The following is a 20,315-nucleotide window of genomic DNA, read 5'->3' on the forward strand; positions in this document are numbered from 1 at the left end:
ATGGGGGCCTTTTGGGAGCCGGGAACATTCTGTTGCATGTTCCGTCTGTCAAAGTCCCTCTGTGTGTGACACATGCTTTTCTGTATGCAGGTCACACCCTCACTGCTCGGAGACAGCTCGATGCCTTGCCCTTTTTCCTCATTAGTGGGAGGCGACCACAGGAGGGGACAGAATAGAGAGACCAGAGCCCTGAATGAGTCAGGGTTACCAGGGAGATGATCTACGAAATCACGATCGGATGACAATGACAGCTACAGCTCACAACCGTGCAAGCAACTTGGCCGGAGCCACCTCGCTTCCCAGAGACCCCACAAGGGCTCCTATTATCCACGACGCTTCAGGCTCAGCACAGACAGGTTCGGCAACCTGCCCCAGCTCACCCAGTGGGGGCATGGAAGAGTCAGCTTGGAAGCCAGGTAGCGTACAGCCATGCTCTTACCAGATACCCTGCTGCCCGACTCTCCCTGGCCATCCGAATAGAATCCATTTTCCAAGGCCCAGATCCCTGAGAAAGGGACCACGTGGAGCTCCAGAGGGAATCTGGGAGAACAGAGAAGCCGCTGGCTGCTATGCTGCTAGCCAAACCCTCTCTGGCTTTCACTGGCTGTTGCTAATCCTTCCTGAGTCTGTTTTCTCGTCTGTGAGGAGGGCACACTGATACTGACAGAGGGTGAAGGGCACAGCCTCTGGAATCACACTTGGGCTCTACCCTACTCTGCTACCTGGGTCAAACGGCGTTGCCTCACCCAGCCTCTGTCTACTCCTTTGCAAACAGGAACCTCACAGGGTTGCCGTACAGTTTAGAGGAGATAAAGTCTGCAACATGCTCAGCACGGTGTCTGGTGAACTGGGAGTGCACCACAGATGGCACCTTGCAGGATGGGGACCCTGTGATGTCCACAGCACCCCGTCCTCAGTGCCTTGCACTGCTGGGCTTGGCAAGGTGGTCAATAAATGGTTTGCTGAGCGAATAATGAAGCGAATAATGAAGATGGCTGCACGCAGGGCTTCCCTCTTTGTCTGGCCCATCCTGAGGCACTGCCCTTCCCCAGGTGCCTTCCCCAGGGCCCAGGTGTCCAGACCCTGGAAGGAGAGCAGACCCCAATGTCCCAGGAGAGAGGGAGGAGAGGTGGGGGAGAAACCACCTAGAAGAGCCTGACCCATGTGCCTGGAGAAGAAATTAACTCAACACAAGAGGCCTGTCCCCAACCAGCAGCAACAAGACATGCTTGACCTGCTAGGAATTGAGCTGGGGACACAGTGTCCCCAGGTGCTGGCTTCACAACCCCCAGTGGGTGTGTAAATGGCTCTGAAGCCCGCTGCCTCTGCTCTCTCTCTCTCTCTCCATAGGCACCTGCTACATCCACACCTGACTCTCACCTCCCCCTCACCACTGGTGCCTGACTCTTGGAGCCTCAGTTTCCTCATCTGTGAGATGGGTGCAGACCTAATCCTTCCCATATCAAAGGGGATGGTTCAGGGTCAAACACAAGGTGGGGAGAGGGGTGCTGGCCCAGGCTCTGCCCCTTACCAGGCACATGGTCTTGAGTAATCACAGCATGTCTTCAAGCCGTGATTTCTCATATGTAAAATGGGGATCATAGGAATATCCAGGTAACATGATGGGGCTAATGAGATGATCAAATGAGATAAATCCACATAAGATGCTGAGTAGGCTGCCTGACACAGGATGAGCTCTTAATTTTAAAATAATAACAGTAATAACGGCAGCAGCAGTAACAGTAATCGCTGCAGCAGTATTAATAGTAGTAATAATAATAATGTAACAGCAGCTAACCTACGTACCCTCAAAATGGAAGGAACTATTCTAAGAGCTTTACATTATTACATAGGGTTCACAACAACCCTATAAAGTAGGTACTTATGCCCATTTTATTTTCTTAATTTTTTTTTTTTGAGACGGAGTCTCACTCTGCCGCCCAGGCTGGAGCACAGTGGCGTGATCTCTGCTCACTGCAACCTCCACCTCCTGGGTTCAAGTGATTCTTGTACCTCAGCCACCCGAGTAGCTGGGATTACAGGTACCTGCCACCATGCCCAGCTAATTTTTGTATTTTTAGTAGAGATGGGGTTTCACCATGTTGGCCAGGCTGGTCTCGAACTCGTGACCTCAGGTGATCTGCCCTCCTCAGCCTCCCAAAGTGCTGGGATTACAGGTGTGAGCCACTGCACCCGGCCTGTGCCCATTTTAAAGATGAGGAAACTGAGGCAGAGAGATGAAGCCACTTCTCATTGTTAAGAATGATACTGGCGGACCCAGGCAGTGGCATGGTGGTTGGTGCCTGGCCTTCAGGGACTTTCCCTAAAACCTGCCAATGTCCCTTTTCAACAAGGAGAGCACCGGCCTTGAGTCCAGCGCTTAGGACAGGCTAACCTTTTCATTTCATCAGTTTCATGCTCCATCAATACTCGTGTCAGTTTTGTTTTCCTTCCTCCCTAGGTCCCCGCCGGGCTGGATGAACCGGCTTTTCTAAAGGTGTCGCAGCCCAGGCTGCAGCCATGGGAACAGGCTCTGCCTCACCTCAGAGCCCAGGGCTGACGGCAGGTCACTGCCCTCAGCCAGAGCTGATTCTCATGGCCAGTGGTGTTGCCCCAGTGACCATCAGGGGTAGCGGGGATTGCCCAGGAGGGCTCCAGGGCCACACACCTTCCAGGCCTCCTGCGGGAGAGCTTGAGCCCTCGGGGCTTCAGAATGTCCCCCTGGAGTCATGAAGGGCTCGCGTGACATCAAGCTGTGCTAAGCACTGCAACACTTAATCACCCCCACATAATCATGAGTGGCAACAATGATGATCCTATTTTACAGACCAGAACACAAGGCCCAGAGAGGCAAAGAGACTAAGCCCCAGTCACACAGCTAGAGTTGGCGCGGGACTCCAGCTCTGCCTCCAGGCTGGCTCGAACCATCTTGCGCTTCCTCACTCTCACCACTTCCTTCCTTCCAGTTGCGCATTTTTACGTTAAAGAGAGAAAGAGCGAGGCATCTGCTCTCACCCAGCCCCCAGCCCTCAGCCCAAGAGGCCCCATCTGGGACCCAGGAAGAGGGCAGGACAAGCGTCAGGCCAACAAGAAGGGAAGGACCAGGCTCAAAAAACCACCGAGGACTGTGCTGGGCTCTTCCTCAAGCCTCGTGGTGTGGGTTGGTTTCCGGTGGCTTTCGGAGCCCAGCTCAGTTGCAAAGTTCTCTCTAGGGGTACTGAGCATGGAGCTCCCCAACCCCCACCAACCACCACAAGGCTAACCGACCTCCAAGGTGAGGGTGCAGCCAGGCCCCAGATTCTCAGGCCGGAACTTCCACCGCTCCAGGGCTCCCTGCACTGAGGGAGGCCACTTTGCCGGGCTGCCTGCCCAATGTCCCTCTGAGTTCCCCTTCCTGCACTGCCTGCCCAGTGCCCCTCTGATTCCCCTTCCTGCACTCACTGTTCAGCATGTGGTGTCCCCCACAGTGGGGAAGCTGAGGCCCCATGGAGACTCTTCAAGGCAGAGACTGCATGTCACTCAGCACATGTCTTCCCAGTAGCCAAGATACTCAAAGTGTGGTTTCTGGGCCAGCAGCATCTGCATCACCTGGAGCTTATTAGAGATGCACCATCTCTCCCTACTCCAGACCTACTGAATCAAAACCTGCATTAATACAGTAGTGCATTCATGGCTCACTGCAGCCTTGAACTCCTGGGCTCAAGTGATCCTCCCTCCTCAGCCTCCTGAGCAGCTGGGACTACAGGTGTGTACCACCACACCCAATTTATTTTTGGTAAAGACAGGGTCTCACTATATTTCCCAAGCTAGTCCTGAACGCCTGGGCTCAAGTGATCCTCCCGCCTTGGCCTCCCAAAGTGCTGGCATTACAGAACCTGCATTTTAACGCAGTCCCCAGGGCATTCACGTACACATGAATGCGTGAGAACTGCTGGCCTCTTAATCTCTCAATGTTTCAAAGCACCTGGAATTGTGCAAATGTGCTAGGCAATTCTCCTATCCACATTTTTGCACAGAAGATTCTGGCAAGAAAGGCCTGGTCCTTTTTGCTCCTGGCAAATGCCTCTTTGAAAAGCTGGACAACGTCGCCAAGACCACTCCCCCAGGCAAACACCTTCTCATCCCTGTCCCTGCCCCATGTCAGTCCCCCACTTTCCCCAACACCTGGAATTGACTTCTTACAGTGAAAGCAACTCAGCGACAAGCATTCGAGCCCCTTCAAGGAGCCAGGCACTGTTCTAGGTGCCAGCTGCAGAGGTAAAGACAGACACGATCCCTTACGGGGAATCTAGGAGAGCACAAAAAAGATGGGAAATAGAGTATCTCAGGGAGTGATGAGTACTTTGCAGAGAAATTCAGCAGAGAAAGGGAGGGGACCACAGGAGACCGGTACAAGTTTAAATGAGGTTGACCACAGAAAGGCCACAGGGAAAAAAGTGACATTTGAGCAGAGACCTGAAGGAGGGGAGGTTCTCCACTCCCATGTGTCCAGCTGGTGGGGAGGGTGCTACCAGCATCTAGTGGGTGGAGGCCAGGGATGCTGCTCAGCACCCCACAGTGCCCAGGACAACCCCCAGTGAAGAATCATCCAGCCCCAGAGCCCAGGCTCAAAAACCCTGCTCTAGGGGAAAAGCATTCTAAGAAGAAGGAACAGCATGAGCTAGAGCCCTGGGGTGGGGAACAAAGAATGTTCATGTAACTTGGGCAAAAATAATTGGAGATGGGTGTGGCAGGGGCCCAACCGTGCAGGGGCCAGAAGGACACTGAGAGGCCTCAGCGGAGGCTCTGACTCCCAATGGGTGAGACAGAACATCTTCAGCAGAGAAGAGACAGTCTCATAGGACCCTCCCACATGGTACCGTGAGCCTGGATGGTGGATGGACAGTGAAGACAGACACAGGGGAACCAGGGAGGAGGCTGTTGGGGTAGCCCAGGCCAGAGACCATGGCAGCTGGATGAGGGCAGGGGCTGGGGGAGCAGAGGAAGAAGGGGAGAGAAGTAGCAAATCCTGGGCTCCTTGGGAGGTAGAAATGGCAGTGTTTGCTGATGAACTGGAAGCAGGGCTGAGACAAAGGGAGGAATCAAAGGTGACCACTGCAGGGAACTGTGAGGCTGCCGTTCACCACAGAGGAACGGGGGACCTCTGGGAGGGATGAGGAGGTGCTTGCTTTGAAAGGGGCATGTTAAGCGGCATGTCTTATTGGATATTAAGTGGATGGGCAGTTGCTACATGAGTCAGGAGCTCAGGGGAGAGGTCCTGGGAGGACATACAGATGTAGGAGCTGGCCGGGCACAGTGGCTCACACCTATAATTTCAGCACTTTGGGAGGCTGAGGTGAGAGGACTCCTTGAGCCCAGGAGTTCAAGACCAGCCTTGGCAACATGGCAAGACCCCATCTCTACAAAAAATACAAAAATTAGCCGGGTATGGTGGTACATGCCTGTAAGTTCTGGGAGGCTGAGGCAGGAGGATCGCTTGAGCCTGGGTGGTTGAGGCTGCAGTGAGCTGAGATCGAACCACCACACTTCAGCTTGGGCAACAGAGCAAAACAACAACAAAAAAGTAGGAGCTAACATACAGCTGGTGTTTCAGGCCACATCTGTGCATTTTATTTCAAGGACAAAAGGAAACCCAAGTCATCACTAGGGCAAAGGCAAACCCTCTGTGATCTGCACCCAACTCTCCAATTCTCCTCATGTGCTGGGCCTTCTGCCTAGAGCTCCCCTCCCTCTTCTCTTCACACACCGGCTCCTTCTCTCCTGGTCTCAGCCCAGATGTGGCCTCCTCAGTGGCACCTTCCATGACCACCTACCCCAAGGACCCTCTCCTCCCTAGGGTTCCAGGGGATGGCTGTCTGCCCTGTTTCCTTCCTTTAGCTTTTTTTTTTTTTTTTTTTTTTTTGGGGCAGGGCTTCACTCTATCGCCCAGGCTGGAGTACAGTGGTGCGATTTTGGCTCACTGCAGCCTTCACCTCCTGGGTTCAACAGATGTTCTTGCCTCAGCCTTCTGAGTAGCTGGGACTACAGGCACCCGCCACCATGAATGGCTAATTTTTTTTTTTTTTTTGAGACGGAGTCTCACTGTGTTGCCCAGGCTGGAGTGCAGTGGCGCTATCTTGGCTCACTGCAAGCTCCGCCTCCCGGGTTCACGCCATTCTCCTGCCTCAGCCTCCCGAGTAACTGGAACCACAGGCACCCACCACCACGCCTGGCTAGTTTTTTGTATTTTTAGTAGAAATTCACTGTGTTAGCCAGGATGGTCTCGATCTCCTGACCTCGTGATCCGCCCGCCTCAGCCTCCCAAAGTGCTGGGATTTCAGGCATGAGCCACCATGCCCAGCCAACCTTAGTATATTGCTCATGTTATAGCATGAACTGGCTGATGTGCTAGCTTTCTCTCTGACTACCCCTCACACACATAAGCATCAGAACAGAAGTGCCCCAGCAGGGGAAGGGGAGCCTCCCCTTCTCAACCCTGTAGGATCCTCAGCTCTAAAACCCATCACGGAAGGCCCTGGACATTTGCAGGCTTGTAAGCAAGGACCATGTCAGTATCAACCATCCTGGGAAAAGAATCTCTATAAAAGTTTTATATGCGAGTACCTGCTAATAAAACTAAGACTGTTTAGAAAGCTGCTTTTTGCCTCGGGAACGCCTCCGCACCTTTTCACACCAAACTACCCCCTTGGTGGCTCTCCTCACGTCTGCCTTAACACTCTCACCTAAGCAGATGTGCGAGTCCAGCTGCCTCACGCCCGCTGTCTTTTCTGGGCATCTTTACAGCTACCGTAGCAGGTTTTCCTCTTTAAGTGAACGTGCATCATCCTAGCTGAGGCTTTTAAAGGGAGGACTCGCTGCCTCTTGGAATATATTAAATTCTGATGGTGAAACAGCCTGCTGAGCTAGGTAGGGCCTCAGCAACTTCCTTATGAGTATAGTATTTCTAAAAAAAGCTGTCGAGGCCAGGCATGGTGTCTCATGCCTGTAATCCTAGCACTTTGGAAGACTGAGGCAGGAGTATTGCTTGAGCCAGGAGTCCGAGACCAGCCTGGGCAACCTAGCAAGACTCGCATCTCTACAAAAAAATTTTTTTTTAATTAGCTGGATGTGGTGATACACATCTGTGGCCCCAGCTACAGCTCAGGAGGCTGAGGCAGGATGATCGCTTGAGCCCGGGAGTCGGAGGCTGCAGTAAACCATGACTGCACCACTGCACCCCAGTCTGGACAACAGAACGAGATCTTGCTCCCATCCCCTCAAAAAGTGGTCATATCATAGACAGGTTAAAAACAAAGCAAAGTGACTGGGTTAAAAGGGGATTTAATTCTGGATGAAGAGCAACATCACTGCAGTGGTTTGAGGCTACATCTCTTGCATTAGCCAGCTTTGCTTTTGAACTGAGGACCTACTGTGTAATTTTAACCTCTTCAGCCTCAGTTGCTTAATCTGTAAAATGGGGATAATAATGTCAACCTCAGAGGGTTCCTGAGACCATGTGAGCGTTGAGCCCAGCGTCTGGCACATGTTAGCACTCTGCTGCTGGCAGCTGGGCTCCCATTTCTGCTCACAACCCCGTGCTTTTTTTTCTTTTTGAGACAGTCTTGCTTCATCACCTAGGCTGGAGTGCAGTGGCAAGACAAGTTACTGCAGCCTCAACCTCCCAGGCTCAAACAATCTTCCCACCTCAGCCTCCTGAGTAGCTAGGACCACAGGTGCATGCCACCATGCCCGGCTCATTTTTAAATTTTTTTTGTAGAGACAGAGTCTCACTGTGTTGCCCAGGCTCGTCCCAAACTCCTGGATTCAAGCAATCCTTCCACCTCGGCCTCCCAAAGTGCTCAGATTACACGTGTGAGCTACTGCACTGGGCCAATCTTGTGGTAACTTCAAAAAATGACAGAGCAGTGGTAAGAACACTGCTGAGGGCCTGGGTGTGGTGGCTCACACCTGTAATCCCAGCACTTTGGGAGGCCGAGGCGGGTGGATCACCTGAGGTCAGGAGTTTAAGACCAGCCTGGCCAACATGGTGAAACCTTGCCTCTACTAAAAATACAAAAATTAGCCAGGTGTGGAGGTGGGTGCCATAATCCCAGCTACCTGGGAGGCTGAGGAAGGACAATTGCTTGAACCTGGGACGGGGAGGTTGCAGTGAGCCAAGATCGCGCCACAGCACTCCAGCCTGGCTGACAGAGCGAGACTCTGTCTCAAAGAGAAAAACAAAAGGAACACTGCTGAAGGAAGAAAAACAGGACCTGGAGTTAGGACATTTTGCTGACGCCCCACTGTCTGGGCTATCAGAACATGGGGCTGCACGTTGGTGGCATTTGACATGGAGCATGGAGTCCCTTTTTTTTCTCTTCCCTGTGTACGTCTGTGGTTGCATTTACCTCCGGAATTACTCCACAGTCAATGGCTCGATGAACCTAAAAATATTTTTTGTAATGTGGCTTTATCTAATCATGCCTCCTAATGGCCTGCACCACTACATCTGAAGTATTCCATAGCGTCTATTTCTGGCATTTATAAGCCTGCCAGCGTGCTATCAGGAAATTAAAAATTGTTGTTTAAAACATTTACCAGTTAAGGGGCCCAAAAAGAGAAAGAAAAAGTGCAAGAAGCTATTTCTGTATTTTCTTCATTATTTAAAATTCTGACCTTTTAACAGGTTTACCTGTGGAGGTCGCCTCTGCTAGATGGAAAATTTCTGAGTGTACAGGGGAAGAGCCCCCCGAATGGTAGGTGGCTAATGAACGTGTTAGAATTAGATAGAAATTCCTTTTTTTTTTTTCTTTTCTATTCAGGCATTTTGCCGAGAGGCCACAGAAATTCAGTGCTTTGTGGTCTGGATGAATTCAGGTCTTGAGGATCCTGAAGCATATACGATTTGGGGGTTCCCTCTTTTAAAAAGGGAACATAACAAAATGAAATTTTTTTTGAGACAGAATCTCGCTCTGTCACCCAGGCTGCAGTGCAGTGTCATGATCTCAGCTCATTGCGACCTCTCCCTCCCATGTTCAAGCGATTCTCCTGCTCAGCCTCCCGAGTAGCTGGGATTACAAGCACACACCACCACGCCCAACTGATTTTTGTATTTTCAGTAGAGACGAGGTTTCACCATGTTGGCCAGGCTGGTCTGGAACTCCTGACCTCAAGTGATCCGCCAGCCTCAGCCTCTCAAAGTGCTGGGATTACAGAGTGAGCCACTGCGCCCGGCCAACAATATGAATGTCTAAAAATCAGGTACCGGGCTGTGTAAAGAACCCACGCAAAAGTAAGGCCTTGAAGTGGGGCTTTCAATGCCGCAAGACGAACCCTCCCCTAGATGTCCTCAGATGACTTCTGGAAAGAGATGGGACCAGGCCCAACACAGATAAGAAACGGTGGCTTAAAAACAAAATCAATTTTGGTCCATCAATTGCCTCATGAGAGTTTGTAAAGCTATATTCAATTTGTCAAGCCGCACATTTAGAAATCCAGTTCTTCTTTAAACTTCTAAGTGCAACTTACAAATCTTATTCATCTGTATCTAAAGCCTGTGGTTCTGAATGATCATTTTTAAGGGGACTTTTGCATTCAAGGTCTTCACGAGCCTCCTGTGGGATCCTCATAAGCACGTGGGTCCTTCGCTGTCTGAGCGGGAAGGGGCAAAGGAGGTGGCACCCTCTCCCCCATCGCAGATTGTAGTGGGGTGCCAGGGGCCTTCACTAGGGAACCCCAATCAACGCCATTTTCATGTGGGGGAATGTCCCCAGAAAGAAAAGGAATTTTGTCCATGCTCTGAAAACCCAGCACAGCCCAGGGCCTGTTGGACAGCTTCCAAGATGTGCCAGGATCTGAGAGGTTGAAGACCGGGCCTGGGGTCACTTAGAAAACCCCTGGCAGAGAGGGGACAGCACTGGGGATCAGTTCCCAAGCCAGGGCTGCTCAGGGGAAGATGGGCAGGAAAAGGCCAGGGGAACCTTGAAAAGCTACCTCATCTCCCTTCTCTAGGCCCTGGAGGGTGGATTAGGATTAGGCAAAGCAGTTCTGGGAGGCTGGAAGGAGGCCCTTCCTGTAGGCCTGTTTGCATAAGAAGCTGTGGTCAGTCACCTCCTTCCTGCAGGCTGGGCTGGGGCTGTCACTATGTGCAGCTGACACGAACCTCGAAGCCGACTCTGAAGCTCTGAGACCAAGGCAGTGGTGACGGGAATTATAAACGCACCTCCCCCACCCCCAGTAGCAGGGCAGGAAGACTGAGGTCCTTAGAGATCACTTGCAAATCAAGACAATGCCCCTGGCTTCCTACAGCAGGATCTTGGCGCTGGGTTCAAACCCCAGCTCCTCCACTTATGAGCTGTGTGACCCAGGGCCAGGTACATGGCCTCTCTCTCTAGCCTTACTTTCCCATCTGTAAAATGGGGAGAGTGAGCGTCCCTACCTCTACTTCCTATGGGGTTCTGTAGGACTGAAGTCAGCCTGGGCGACATGGTAAGACCTCATCTCTACAAAAATACAAAAAATGAGCCAGGTGTGGTGGCACACACCTGTAGTCCCAGCTACTCAGGAGGCTGAAGCAGGAGGAGCACTTGAGCCTGGGAGGTCAAGGCTGCAGTGAGCCAAGATCGCACCACTGCACATCAGCCTGAGCAACACAGCGAGACTCTGTCAAAAAATAAAAAAAAAGATTAAAGTAACACAATCCTGCTGTGTAGCACATAAAACACGTTCAAATAATAAGAGCTTACATTTGTGAGCTGTTTCTACGTGCCAAGACCCCTGCTGAATTCTTTCACCTGGATTACATCAACCTAACAAGGAAGTACTATTAAGGACAACAGGCCTCACGTAGGCCACGCTTCCTGCGCTGGAAAGAATTCTGCTAGTCATTACATTCACTCCTCATTCCTTTGTTCTTTCATTCATTCATTTATTCACTCATCCCTTCACTTGTTCATTTGAGCACTCTCACAGCACCTACTGTGTTACAGGCCCTGGACTCAGCACTTTGGCCAAGGAAAAAGGCAATCAGTTCCTGCCCTCCAAGAAGCCACAGTCTGCTGGGGTGAGGGGATGTGGGGGCAGTTATAATTCTGTGCTGTGAATGTTGGGATGGGGCACCCCCAGAAGGAGGCTGTGGGCCTTCACGGGGCAGGAGACGTGTCTTGGAAATGTGGTCCACACTGAGGCCTCAGCAAAGCAGAAGCCAGCATCTACACACCTGTGTGAGTCCCACATAAAGAACACAAAGATGACGTTGATGGCACTGGGTAGCCATCAAGAGGGCTGTTGAGCAGAGGCTGCTCACTAGCTCCTTTGAATGACCCTGCCAGGCAGGCACACTGAGGGCTTGTGCAAGGGTGCTACATATGAGGTCCTGGGGATGGGTGTGCAGGAGAGGGGCAAACAGGGTTTGGGGTGGCAGGGCAGGACCAACGGCTCACATTTCTAAGCTGAGCCTGGGCAGGTGAGGCCTGGGAGGTAGGAGTCCGGCGCCATCAGCACAGAGAGGCCGCGCCAGCTCAGCTCCTGCAGGAGGAGGACGCTCCACCCACTCAACCATGGAGGACCTACTGTGTGCTGTCCACAGTGCTGGGCAACGGAGGCACTTGTTAGAAATGCAGAGTCTCAGGCCCCACCCTAGAACTGCAGAAGCAAAACCTGCATGGCAGCAAGATTCCCAGGTGATTCGAGCACAGTCAAGTTGGAAAAAAACTGTTGTAGGGAATGCCATTTTAGTACGTCCCATTGTAAGCTTATGATGGGGTGCTAGGCAATGCATCAGGGCTCAGCGCCTAGAACCTAAAAGTGGGAGGGGCCTCCAACAGCCTCATATCCTCCTCCTCACACAGCACCTGGGCCCCCACCACACTCAGATTAGACCCTCAGGATGGGGTGGAAGAATAGCCCCATTTGCCAAATGCCTGTGAACCCAGCTTAGAGCTAAACTGCCCTGCTTGCACCTGCTTTTTTTTCCCCCTAGAGATGGGGTCTCACTGTGTTGCCCAGGTTGGGCTCAAGCGATCCTCCAGCCTTGGCCTCCCAAAGTGCTGAGATTATAGTCGTGAGTCACAGTGCCCGGCCGACTGCTCATTTTTAATGCTCAAATCAAATCCCAAGTGACCATGCTCACTTTCCAGATGAGGAGACCAGCTCAGAGAAAGGAAGTAACCAGCCCGAAGCCACAAAGCCAATGGCATGAAGGATTCTAATACAGTTGGACTCCGAAGCCTGGGTTTTTGCCTCTGCATCTCTATGCATGTAGAATATGAACCTAAAGTTCACCACCCAAAGTTGGATGGATCTAACATCAGATGCATAACAATAAGTCCAAGGCAGTTTGTTACAGGGCTGGGGGCTCCACTTGCTGGAAAACTGTCTTGAGGACAAAGGGGCTCTGCCTTCCCACATCCTCCACTGTGAGCTCCATAGCGGCTGCAGCTACCAGCGTAGGTACCAAGCACCTGGCGCAGAGCAGATGCTCATGAACTTTTTAAGAGACAGGGTCTTGCTCTGTTGCCCAGCCTGGAGTACAGTGGTGCACTCATAGCCCACTGCAGTCTTGAACCCCTGGGTTCAAGTGATCCTCCTGCCTCAGCTTCCCAAGTAGCCAGAGCTACATGTGTGCATCACCAGACCTGGCTAATTTTTAAATATTTTGTAGAGAAAGGGTCTTGCTATGTTGCCCAGGCTGCTCATTAACTTCTGAAGGAACAAGCAAAGCACGCCCTTGACACTGTTTTCCAGCATCCAGTGTCCATATATGCCACCTCCCCGCTAGATCTCAGTGCCTGGCTGACTTGTGTCATGCTACACACTCCTCAGCCTATGGACCAAGGAGGTTTCACCTTGCCCTGGTTGAAACCACCCGCCCTCCATCCCTGTCCTTGGAGGAAACTGACCCCAGGCCCCATGCCCTTATAGCTCTAGGGGAAAACATTTGCATGTCTGGTCTTTGGCCATGGCGATTGGCTCAGACTCAGGCCCGTGACCCCATCAGAGCCAATGAGAAGCCAGGTGACTCTTCCGCTGGGCTCAGGTTCTCTCTCCTCCACTGGGCTTGGTGGGCAAGATGTCTAGAATTAAAGGTATAAATCTTAATTGTCTTTAAGTCGGCCTTGGATGCAATCAAACTGAGACCAGAGGCCACAAGAATCATGAGACCGTCAGAATCTGAGCTCTTGAAATTAAGAATGAAATATACTGGATTAACAATATGCCTGTGTTTAGACAAACAAGAGAAAGTGGACATTTATATGTCAGTTTCCATAAAACCTAGGGGAAATTTAAGTCTGTTTACCAAGAAGGAAGTTTCCCTGGAGTATTAGAAGGTTTGTTTCAAAGTTCCAACAAGCTGTAACCTTGAGACTCTGAATGCTTATTTTAGGAAACTACATCTGTTAGAAGTTTATGGTAGAAATTTGTTCAACTTGAAGCTTCCCCATGAACTCTGTGTGACGATCAAGTCACTGGCAAGGACCTCTCACTAACCCAGCTGTAAGTAACTCAAGCAGCACTCGCTTGTAATCCCAGCCACTCAGGAGGCTGAGGCGGGGGGACTGCTTGAGCTCAGGAGTTCAAGATCACCCTGGGTAACATAGCAAGACCACGTCTCAAAAAAAAAAAATACAAAACAATTAACAGGTCTGGTGCAGCGGTACACACCTGTAGTGCCAGCACTTTGGGAGGTAGAAATGAGGGGACTGCTTGAGGCCAGGAGTTTGAGACCAGCCTGGGCAACATAGTGAGACCCCCATCTCTACAAAAACTTTAAAAAATTAGCTGGTGTGGTGGTGCATGGCTGTAGTCCCAGCACTTTGGGAAGCTAAGGCAGGAGGATCACCTGAGCCCAGGAGTTCAAGACCAGCCCGAGCAACATAGCAAGACCCTGCTTCTACGAAAATAAAAGTAAATAAAAAATTACCTGGGTGTGATGGCACATGCCTGTGGTCCCAGCTGCTTGGGAGGCTGAGGCAGGAGGATCGCTTGGGCCCAAGAGGTTGAGGCTGCAGTGAGCTATGATCACAACACTGCACTCCAGCCTGGGCAACGGAGTGAGACCGTGTCTCAAAAAAATTAAAAATACCCAAATAACAAATAATTCAACCGGAATACAGTTTAAGGCATTCCTCTTCATTAAAAAGCAACCTAAAGGTATCTAAAAGATTAACAAAACACAATGCAGAAGGTTGATTTTCCTTAACAGAAATTTGAGGCGGCCACCCCCATCTTGCCTGAGGCCAGAACTAACCCTAAAGAAGGAGAGTCAAAAGACAGAGGTCCTGATGGCAGCCTGAGCCCCTAAGTCGGGCTGCACCACAACTGATACATCTTTGTGTGCCCGGCAGTTGGAAGGACCCTGGGATTTAACAGGACCTCCATATGTGTCTGAGATTCCAAGCACATTCCATCCGAGGAAGTCAGGGTGAGGCATGGGGTGGCTGAAGAGCCCTTCCTCGCTTCCACGATAGTTATAATTTATAATTGTGTGATCCTCATAGAAACAGAAGTGGTTCTTTCTTACTGTTTGGGAACATCTTGTCTTAGAAGAGACCAGAAGCATTAAAACAACTACAGTTGGCTCACGCCTATAATCCCAGCACTTTGGGAGGCTGAGACGGGTGGATCACAAGGTCAGGAGATCGAAACCATCCTGGCTAACACGGTGAAACCCCGTCTCTACTAAAAATACAAAACATTAGCCGAGCATGGTGGAGGGCACCAGTAGTCCCAGCTACTCGGGAGGCTGAGGCAGAAGAATGGTGTGAACCCAGGAGGCAGAGCTTGCAGTGAGCCGAGACAGCACCACTGCACTCCAGCCTGGGCGACGGAGCGAGACTCCATCTCCAAAATAAATAAAAAATAAAAAGAAAACAACTACCCCCGCTACTCAGCACTCAAGAAAAGAAACAGGACAAGAAATTTGCAAGGGCATGGCCCCACCCAGCACCCAAACCCGCTGCCAATCTTACCGAATGGTAGGCTGATCTCCACTCAGCTGCTTAAATCTCCGATGGAGCTGCTCGATCTGATCCGATGAGACTGAGAAGTGGGGGAAAGAGAGAAAAACAAGACAGAAAAAAAAATCACTGACTGTCAGAGGGAGGCTGCAGATATTCTTTTGCCCCATCCCCACTGGCTGCCACACCCCTTCTCAAAGCATCTCCCACCATGGCAAAAGCGAGTGCCGGGTGAAGCAGCAGAGAAAGGATTTCCCGTTCTTCCCAGAAACAGCTCTGCAGTCATCAGTTCCAACTGCCTTAGTAATAATAATACAACTATTACTAATAGCTCCTGAGACAGGGCAGTCATGAAGCAGGCCATTCTCCCAGCCTCTGACCTTACCCAGCCCACTACAGAGAAACTTTGTTTTCTGTGGCAGGGTTTCACTTCCATCACTCAGGCTGGAGTACACTGGCACGACCTCGGCATCTCAGCTCACTGCAGCCTCCACCTCCTGGGCTCCAGAGATCCTCCCACCTTGGCCTCCTGGGTAGCTGCAACTACAGGCAAGTGTCACCATGCCCGGCTAATTTTCGTGTGTGTGTGTATATATATATATATATATATATGTGTGTATATATATATATATATATATATATATATATATATATATGTGTGTGTGTATATATATATATATATGTATATATACATATATATATATATATGTATGTATATATATATATATTTTTTTTTTTTAGAAATACAGGGTTTCACCATGTTGCCTAGGCTGGTCTCAAACTCCTGGACTCAAGCAGTCTGCCCGCCTCGGCCTCCCAAGGTGCTGAGACTGCAGGCATGAGCCACCACGCCCAGCCTAGAGAAAACTGCATCTGGTTGTCTGACTCTTCCTCTTCCACTCCAGAAGATGAGTTTTATCCTAGCCGAGAAAGGGGCTTTTTATAGTCACAGACTCAGAGTCAGATGAGTAGCGAGAGGAAATAAGGGTTCAGGCTGGTGTTGGACATGATCTGGGAAACCTACACTGAGAAATGTATGGAGAATCTGGTGGAGCAAAGAAATGGAAGGACTCCAATCTGGTGATGGGGTAAGACCCTGTCTCTAAAAAATGCACAATATTAAACAATGATCTGCATTTCTCACTTCATTATCAAAACAACTCAATAAGTGAGTGGATATTATCTCAGGTATTTTGTTTGTTTTGAGACAGAGTCACACTCTGTCGCCCAGGCTAGAATGCAGTGGTGCAATCTCAGCTCATTGCCACCTCTGCCTCCGTGTTCCAGCGATTCTCGCGCCCCAGCCTCCCAAGTAGCTGGGATTACAGGCACGCGCCACCACGCCCAGCTAATTTTTATACGTTTAGCAGAGACGGGGTTTCGCCACGCTGGCCAGGCTGGTCTTGAACTCCTGACCTTGAGTGATCCGCCCACCGCAGCCTCCCAAAGTGCTGGGATTACAGGTGTGAACCATCACGCCCGGCCGTTATCTCAGTTTTATAATTTGAAAACTGCAGCTCAGAGAGCACGTAAGATCCCACAACACACAGAGGCAGAGCTGGGACTGAACTCCAAGTCTGTGCGACTGACCCCAAAGCCAGCCTTCACCAAGAAGTAATATCGCCTGTCTGCCCAGAGTACTTTGGCACTCAAGGACTTTAGGTCTGGTTCCTGGGGACTATATACAGTTCACACAAACCTTTCCAAAACACGGGCTGGACTGCGGAGCTGTGACCTCCCACCTCAGTCCTCCCAGCATTCCCTACCCCTAAGCACTGTTTTGCTCCTGTTACAGAGGCAGCTAATTTCTGGGGCCAACTGGTCACCTCACTTCCTGCTCATTGTTTTTTGGCCTCAGGCTCTTCAAGAATCAACAGCTCAGTATTCTCAAGCATCTCCAGCAGCTCGTTAAGGCTGTCAACCCAGACTGAGGGCTCTCTACTTCCTGTGGGCATGGCTCCAATGATCAGCTCATCTCTTCCTTTCAACACTCTAGGAGGGGGCTGTATCCTCTTGTTACAGATGTAGCCACTGACACTTGGAACGGTTAGGTGAATCATCAAAGTGCAATTTCTACCTTTCTGCAGGGAAATATGGCCATTTAGATCATAGGTATGTCAGCAAGGACACTGGCTACTTCATGGCCTAGCAATTGCACTCCTAGGTATATACACAAATAACGCATACTTCTGTTCACCCAAGCATGCGTACAAAGATGTCATGGCGGTGCCATTGGAATCGTCCTAAACTGGAAACTACCCACATGCCCAACAATGGCAGAGTAGAGTGCTAATGTGTAATATAGTCAAGCAATGGAATAGCACATGGCAGTGAAAATGAACAATATAGATAATCACAGACAAAAGCAGCCAGACAGGAAAGTGTACATACTTTATGATTCTATTTGCATAAAGTTCAAAAACAGGCAAAACTCAACTACAATGTTAGAGGTCAAGATAGTGGCTGCTCTTAAGGGAGGCATCATAGATGACGCTAATATTGTAACTGACTTTTGGAGGATGAGATGAGGAGGAGTAACTTGAATGGAGTGCAAAGGGGAGTTCTGGGTACTAGGAATGTTCCATTTCTAGATCTCCGTACACTTTACATAGTCGTGTTCTCGGAAACCTCAAAGAGCTGTCTGTATGCTTGAGTGATGCACTGTTCTGGATATGCACTATATCACGACAAAACATTTACTAAAAAAAAAATGTGTTATTCCTCCCTGACTAAAGGAGATCTGGGAAGAGAAAAGAAAAATGAATAAAAATTTTTTAAAATTGTAATTCCACTTGGCAGGAATGTATCCTAAAAAATAATAGATGCAACACGTACAAAAACATGAATACATAAATGTGTTCAACTTTGCATTATTTAAAATAGCTTAAAATTCGACTTGCCCTAAGTGACCATCAAAAGCAGATTGGGGCCGGGCACGGTGGCTCACGCCTGGAATCCCAGCACTTTGGGAGGCTGAGGTGGGCAGAGATCACTTGAGGTCAGGAGTCTGAGACCTGGCCAACATGACGAAACCCCATCTCTACTAAAAATACAAAGATGAGCCAGGCATGGTGGTAGGTACCTGTAATCCCAGCTACTTGGGAGACTGAAGCAGGAGAATCGCTTGAGCCCGGGAGGCGGAGGTTGCAGTGAGCCAAAATCGCACCACTGCACTCCAGCCTTGGCAAGAGAACGAGACTCTGCCTCAAAAAAAAAGCAAAAAACAGATTGGTCAAACACTTTTTGGTATGTTTAGCCAATTTTTGTTTAAAGTATACCTTTAGAGTGCAAGATGGAGGAAAAAAAATTGTTTTTAGGTATACTGCCTTTAACAGTGACAGTTGTGTATTTGCATAGAAATACATTCCACATATACTGCCTAAAAACAGCTTGCTACCAAGAGAGCACAACTCTGTGTTGTGGAAAAGACATAAAAATATACAAATGTGTTTAAGTAATTTAAAAATCCTAGAGTTATTTTCCCCAAAATAATAATAATTATTTCTCATCTCAATACCTGGATTAAAGACTGTTTTGCTTTTGGTTCATCTATATTTTCCCATTTTTCTCTAATGTACAATGTATATGTATTAGTCTTGTAATGAAGTTTTTCAGCCTACAACATGATCCCATCTGGATGGCTGAGGGATCTCATAAATACTGCTATTAATAAGTCATTCACTGGCTGAGTACTGTGTCCCAGGCACACATCATCTTCTTTAGTTCCTTCCATGACCCTATGAGGGACATGCTATTCCCGTTTTATAGAAGAATAAACTGAGGCTCAGAAGGGATGTAACTTGCTCAAGGTCACTGACCTTGATAGAGGCAGACCCACAATTTGAACTTGGTCTGTCTGGCAGAAAACATGTAGTTCTGTGTTTTGTTTTCTTTTTTTTATTTGTCTGTCTCCTTTTGTATGATCACTTAACCCCCAAAACACACTGATCTGAAGATAAATAAGATTAGAAATTACAGCTAAACAGGTGCACCTAAACAACCACTATTAAAGATGAGTTATGGCTGGGCGTGGTGGCTCATGCCTGTAATACCAGCACTTTGGGGGGCTGAGGCGGGTGGATCACTTGAGGTCAGGAGTTTGAAACCAGCCTGGCCAACATGCCAAAACCCCATCTCTACTAAAAATAAAAAAACTAGCCGAGAGTGGTGGCAGGCACCTGTAATCCCAGCTACTTGGGAGGCTGAGGCAGGAGAATCACTTGAACCCGGGAGGCGGAGGTTGCAGTGAGCCAAGATCGTGCCACTGCACTCCAGACTGGGTGACAAAGCGAGACTCCATCTCAAAAAAAAAAAAAGCGTTACCTTGAAAGCATCCTGGTGTGTGAAAGAGGCCACTGGAGAGGACACACACTGGATGATTCCATTTGCATGAAATGCTCAGATGGACAAATCCTTAGGAACAGAAAGTACACCAGTGGCTGCCTGAGGCCAGGGAGGGGAGGGGCTGGAGAGGGAGAACAGGGAGACACTGTCAATGGGCACTGGAGTTTCTTTTAGAGAGAGATAAAAATGTTCCAAAATTATATTGTTTTGATGGTTGCATAACCCTGTGATTATACTAAAACTATGGGGTTCAATTTAAATGGGGGTGAATCTCATGGTGTGTGAATTATATCTCAATAAAGCTATTTAAAAAATAAATTACATGCATAATCATAACAACAAGGGCAGACATTAACTGAGCATTTACCGTTTCCTGGCCTCTGTGTTCAACTACTTGGATAAGCCTGGGCTGGTACAACCCTCTCCTTAGTTCTGTTAGGTAGGTATGATTCTACGCCCATTCTAGAGATGAGAACTCTGGGATGTGCCCAAGGTCCCACAGCTAGGAAGAGGTATATAAATCATCCTAGATCAAGGTTATCTAATGAAGAGTTTCCAGTTAACAGTATCCAAAGTGCACGCAAGGCTGGGTGCGGTGGCTCACACCTGTAATCCAGCACTTCGGGAGGCTGAGGTAGGTGGATCACTTGAGGCCAGGAGTTCGAGACCTGCCCGGCCAACATGGTGAAACCCCATCTCTACTAAAAATGCAAAAATCAGCCAGGCGTGGTGGGGCGCACCTGTAATCCCAGCTACTTGGGAGGCTGAGGCAGGAGAATCACTTGAACCCGGGAGGCAGAGGTTGCAGTGAGCCCAGATCGCACCACTGCACTCCAGCCTGGGTGATGGAAAAAAAAAGAACATGCACACACGTGCAAATTCACATACACATACTCCCTCTGTCCTGCCTGATTGAAAGCAAAGGATTAGGAAGACAACCTCCCACCTCTGGGGCCCTCTTTTTGACACCCAAATCCCTAGAGCCAAGGGCTCAGCTCACAGCTCAGGGAAGACTCCTCTGGCACAGTAACTGAG

General features: G+C 49.5%; 1 protein-coding gene across 6 annotated transcripts in view, besides 2 other annotated features; it reads right to left on the reverse strand.

Moving 5' to 3' along the window:
* The window catches only part of TESC (tescalcin), a 60,494-nt gene that overhangs the window by 21,400 nt on the left and 18,779 nt on the right, over positions 1-20,315 (reverse strand). For all 6 annotated transcript variants that reach the window (NR_031766.3, XM_047429044.1, NM_001168325.2 and 3 more), the window contains exon 2: positions 14,949-15,018. Coding sequence is in view for 5 of the 6 variants with exons in the window: in XM_047429044.1 (XP_047285000.1) it covers positions 14,949-15,018 (70 nt within the window). In the remaining variant the exon portion in view is untranslated. The remainder of the gene's footprint in view (positions 1-14,948; positions 15,019-20,315) is intronic.
* Positions 2,091-2,867: an enhancer, noted in NCBI's record as "H3K27ac-H3K4me1 hESC enhancer chr12:117500218-117500994 (GRCh37/hg19 assembly coordinates)". NCBI's record gives its function as "activates a minimal SCP1, AML or CMV promoter by ChIP-STARR-seq in primed H9 embryonic stem cells {active_cell/tissue: H9 hESC(primed)}" and the evidence as "EXISTENCE:reporter gene assay evidence [ECO:0000049][PMID:30033119]".
* Positions 2,868-3,644: an enhancer, noted in NCBI's record as "H3K27ac-H3K4me1 hESC enhancer chr12:117500995-117501771 (GRCh37/hg19 assembly coordinates)". NCBI's record gives its function as "activates a minimal SCP1, AML or CMV promoter by ChIP-STARR-seq in primed H9 embryonic stem cells {active_cell/tissue: H9 hESC(primed)}" and the evidence as "EXISTENCE:reporter gene assay evidence [ECO:0000049][PMID:30033119]".

This window comes from Homo sapiens, chromosome 12, assembly GCF_000001405.40.
Source record: "Homo sapiens chromosome 12, GRCh38.p14 Primary Assembly".
In the NCBI taxonomy this organism is placed as follows: domain Eukaryota; kingdom Metazoa; phylum Chordata; class Mammalia; order Primates; family Hominidae; genus Homo; species Homo sapiens.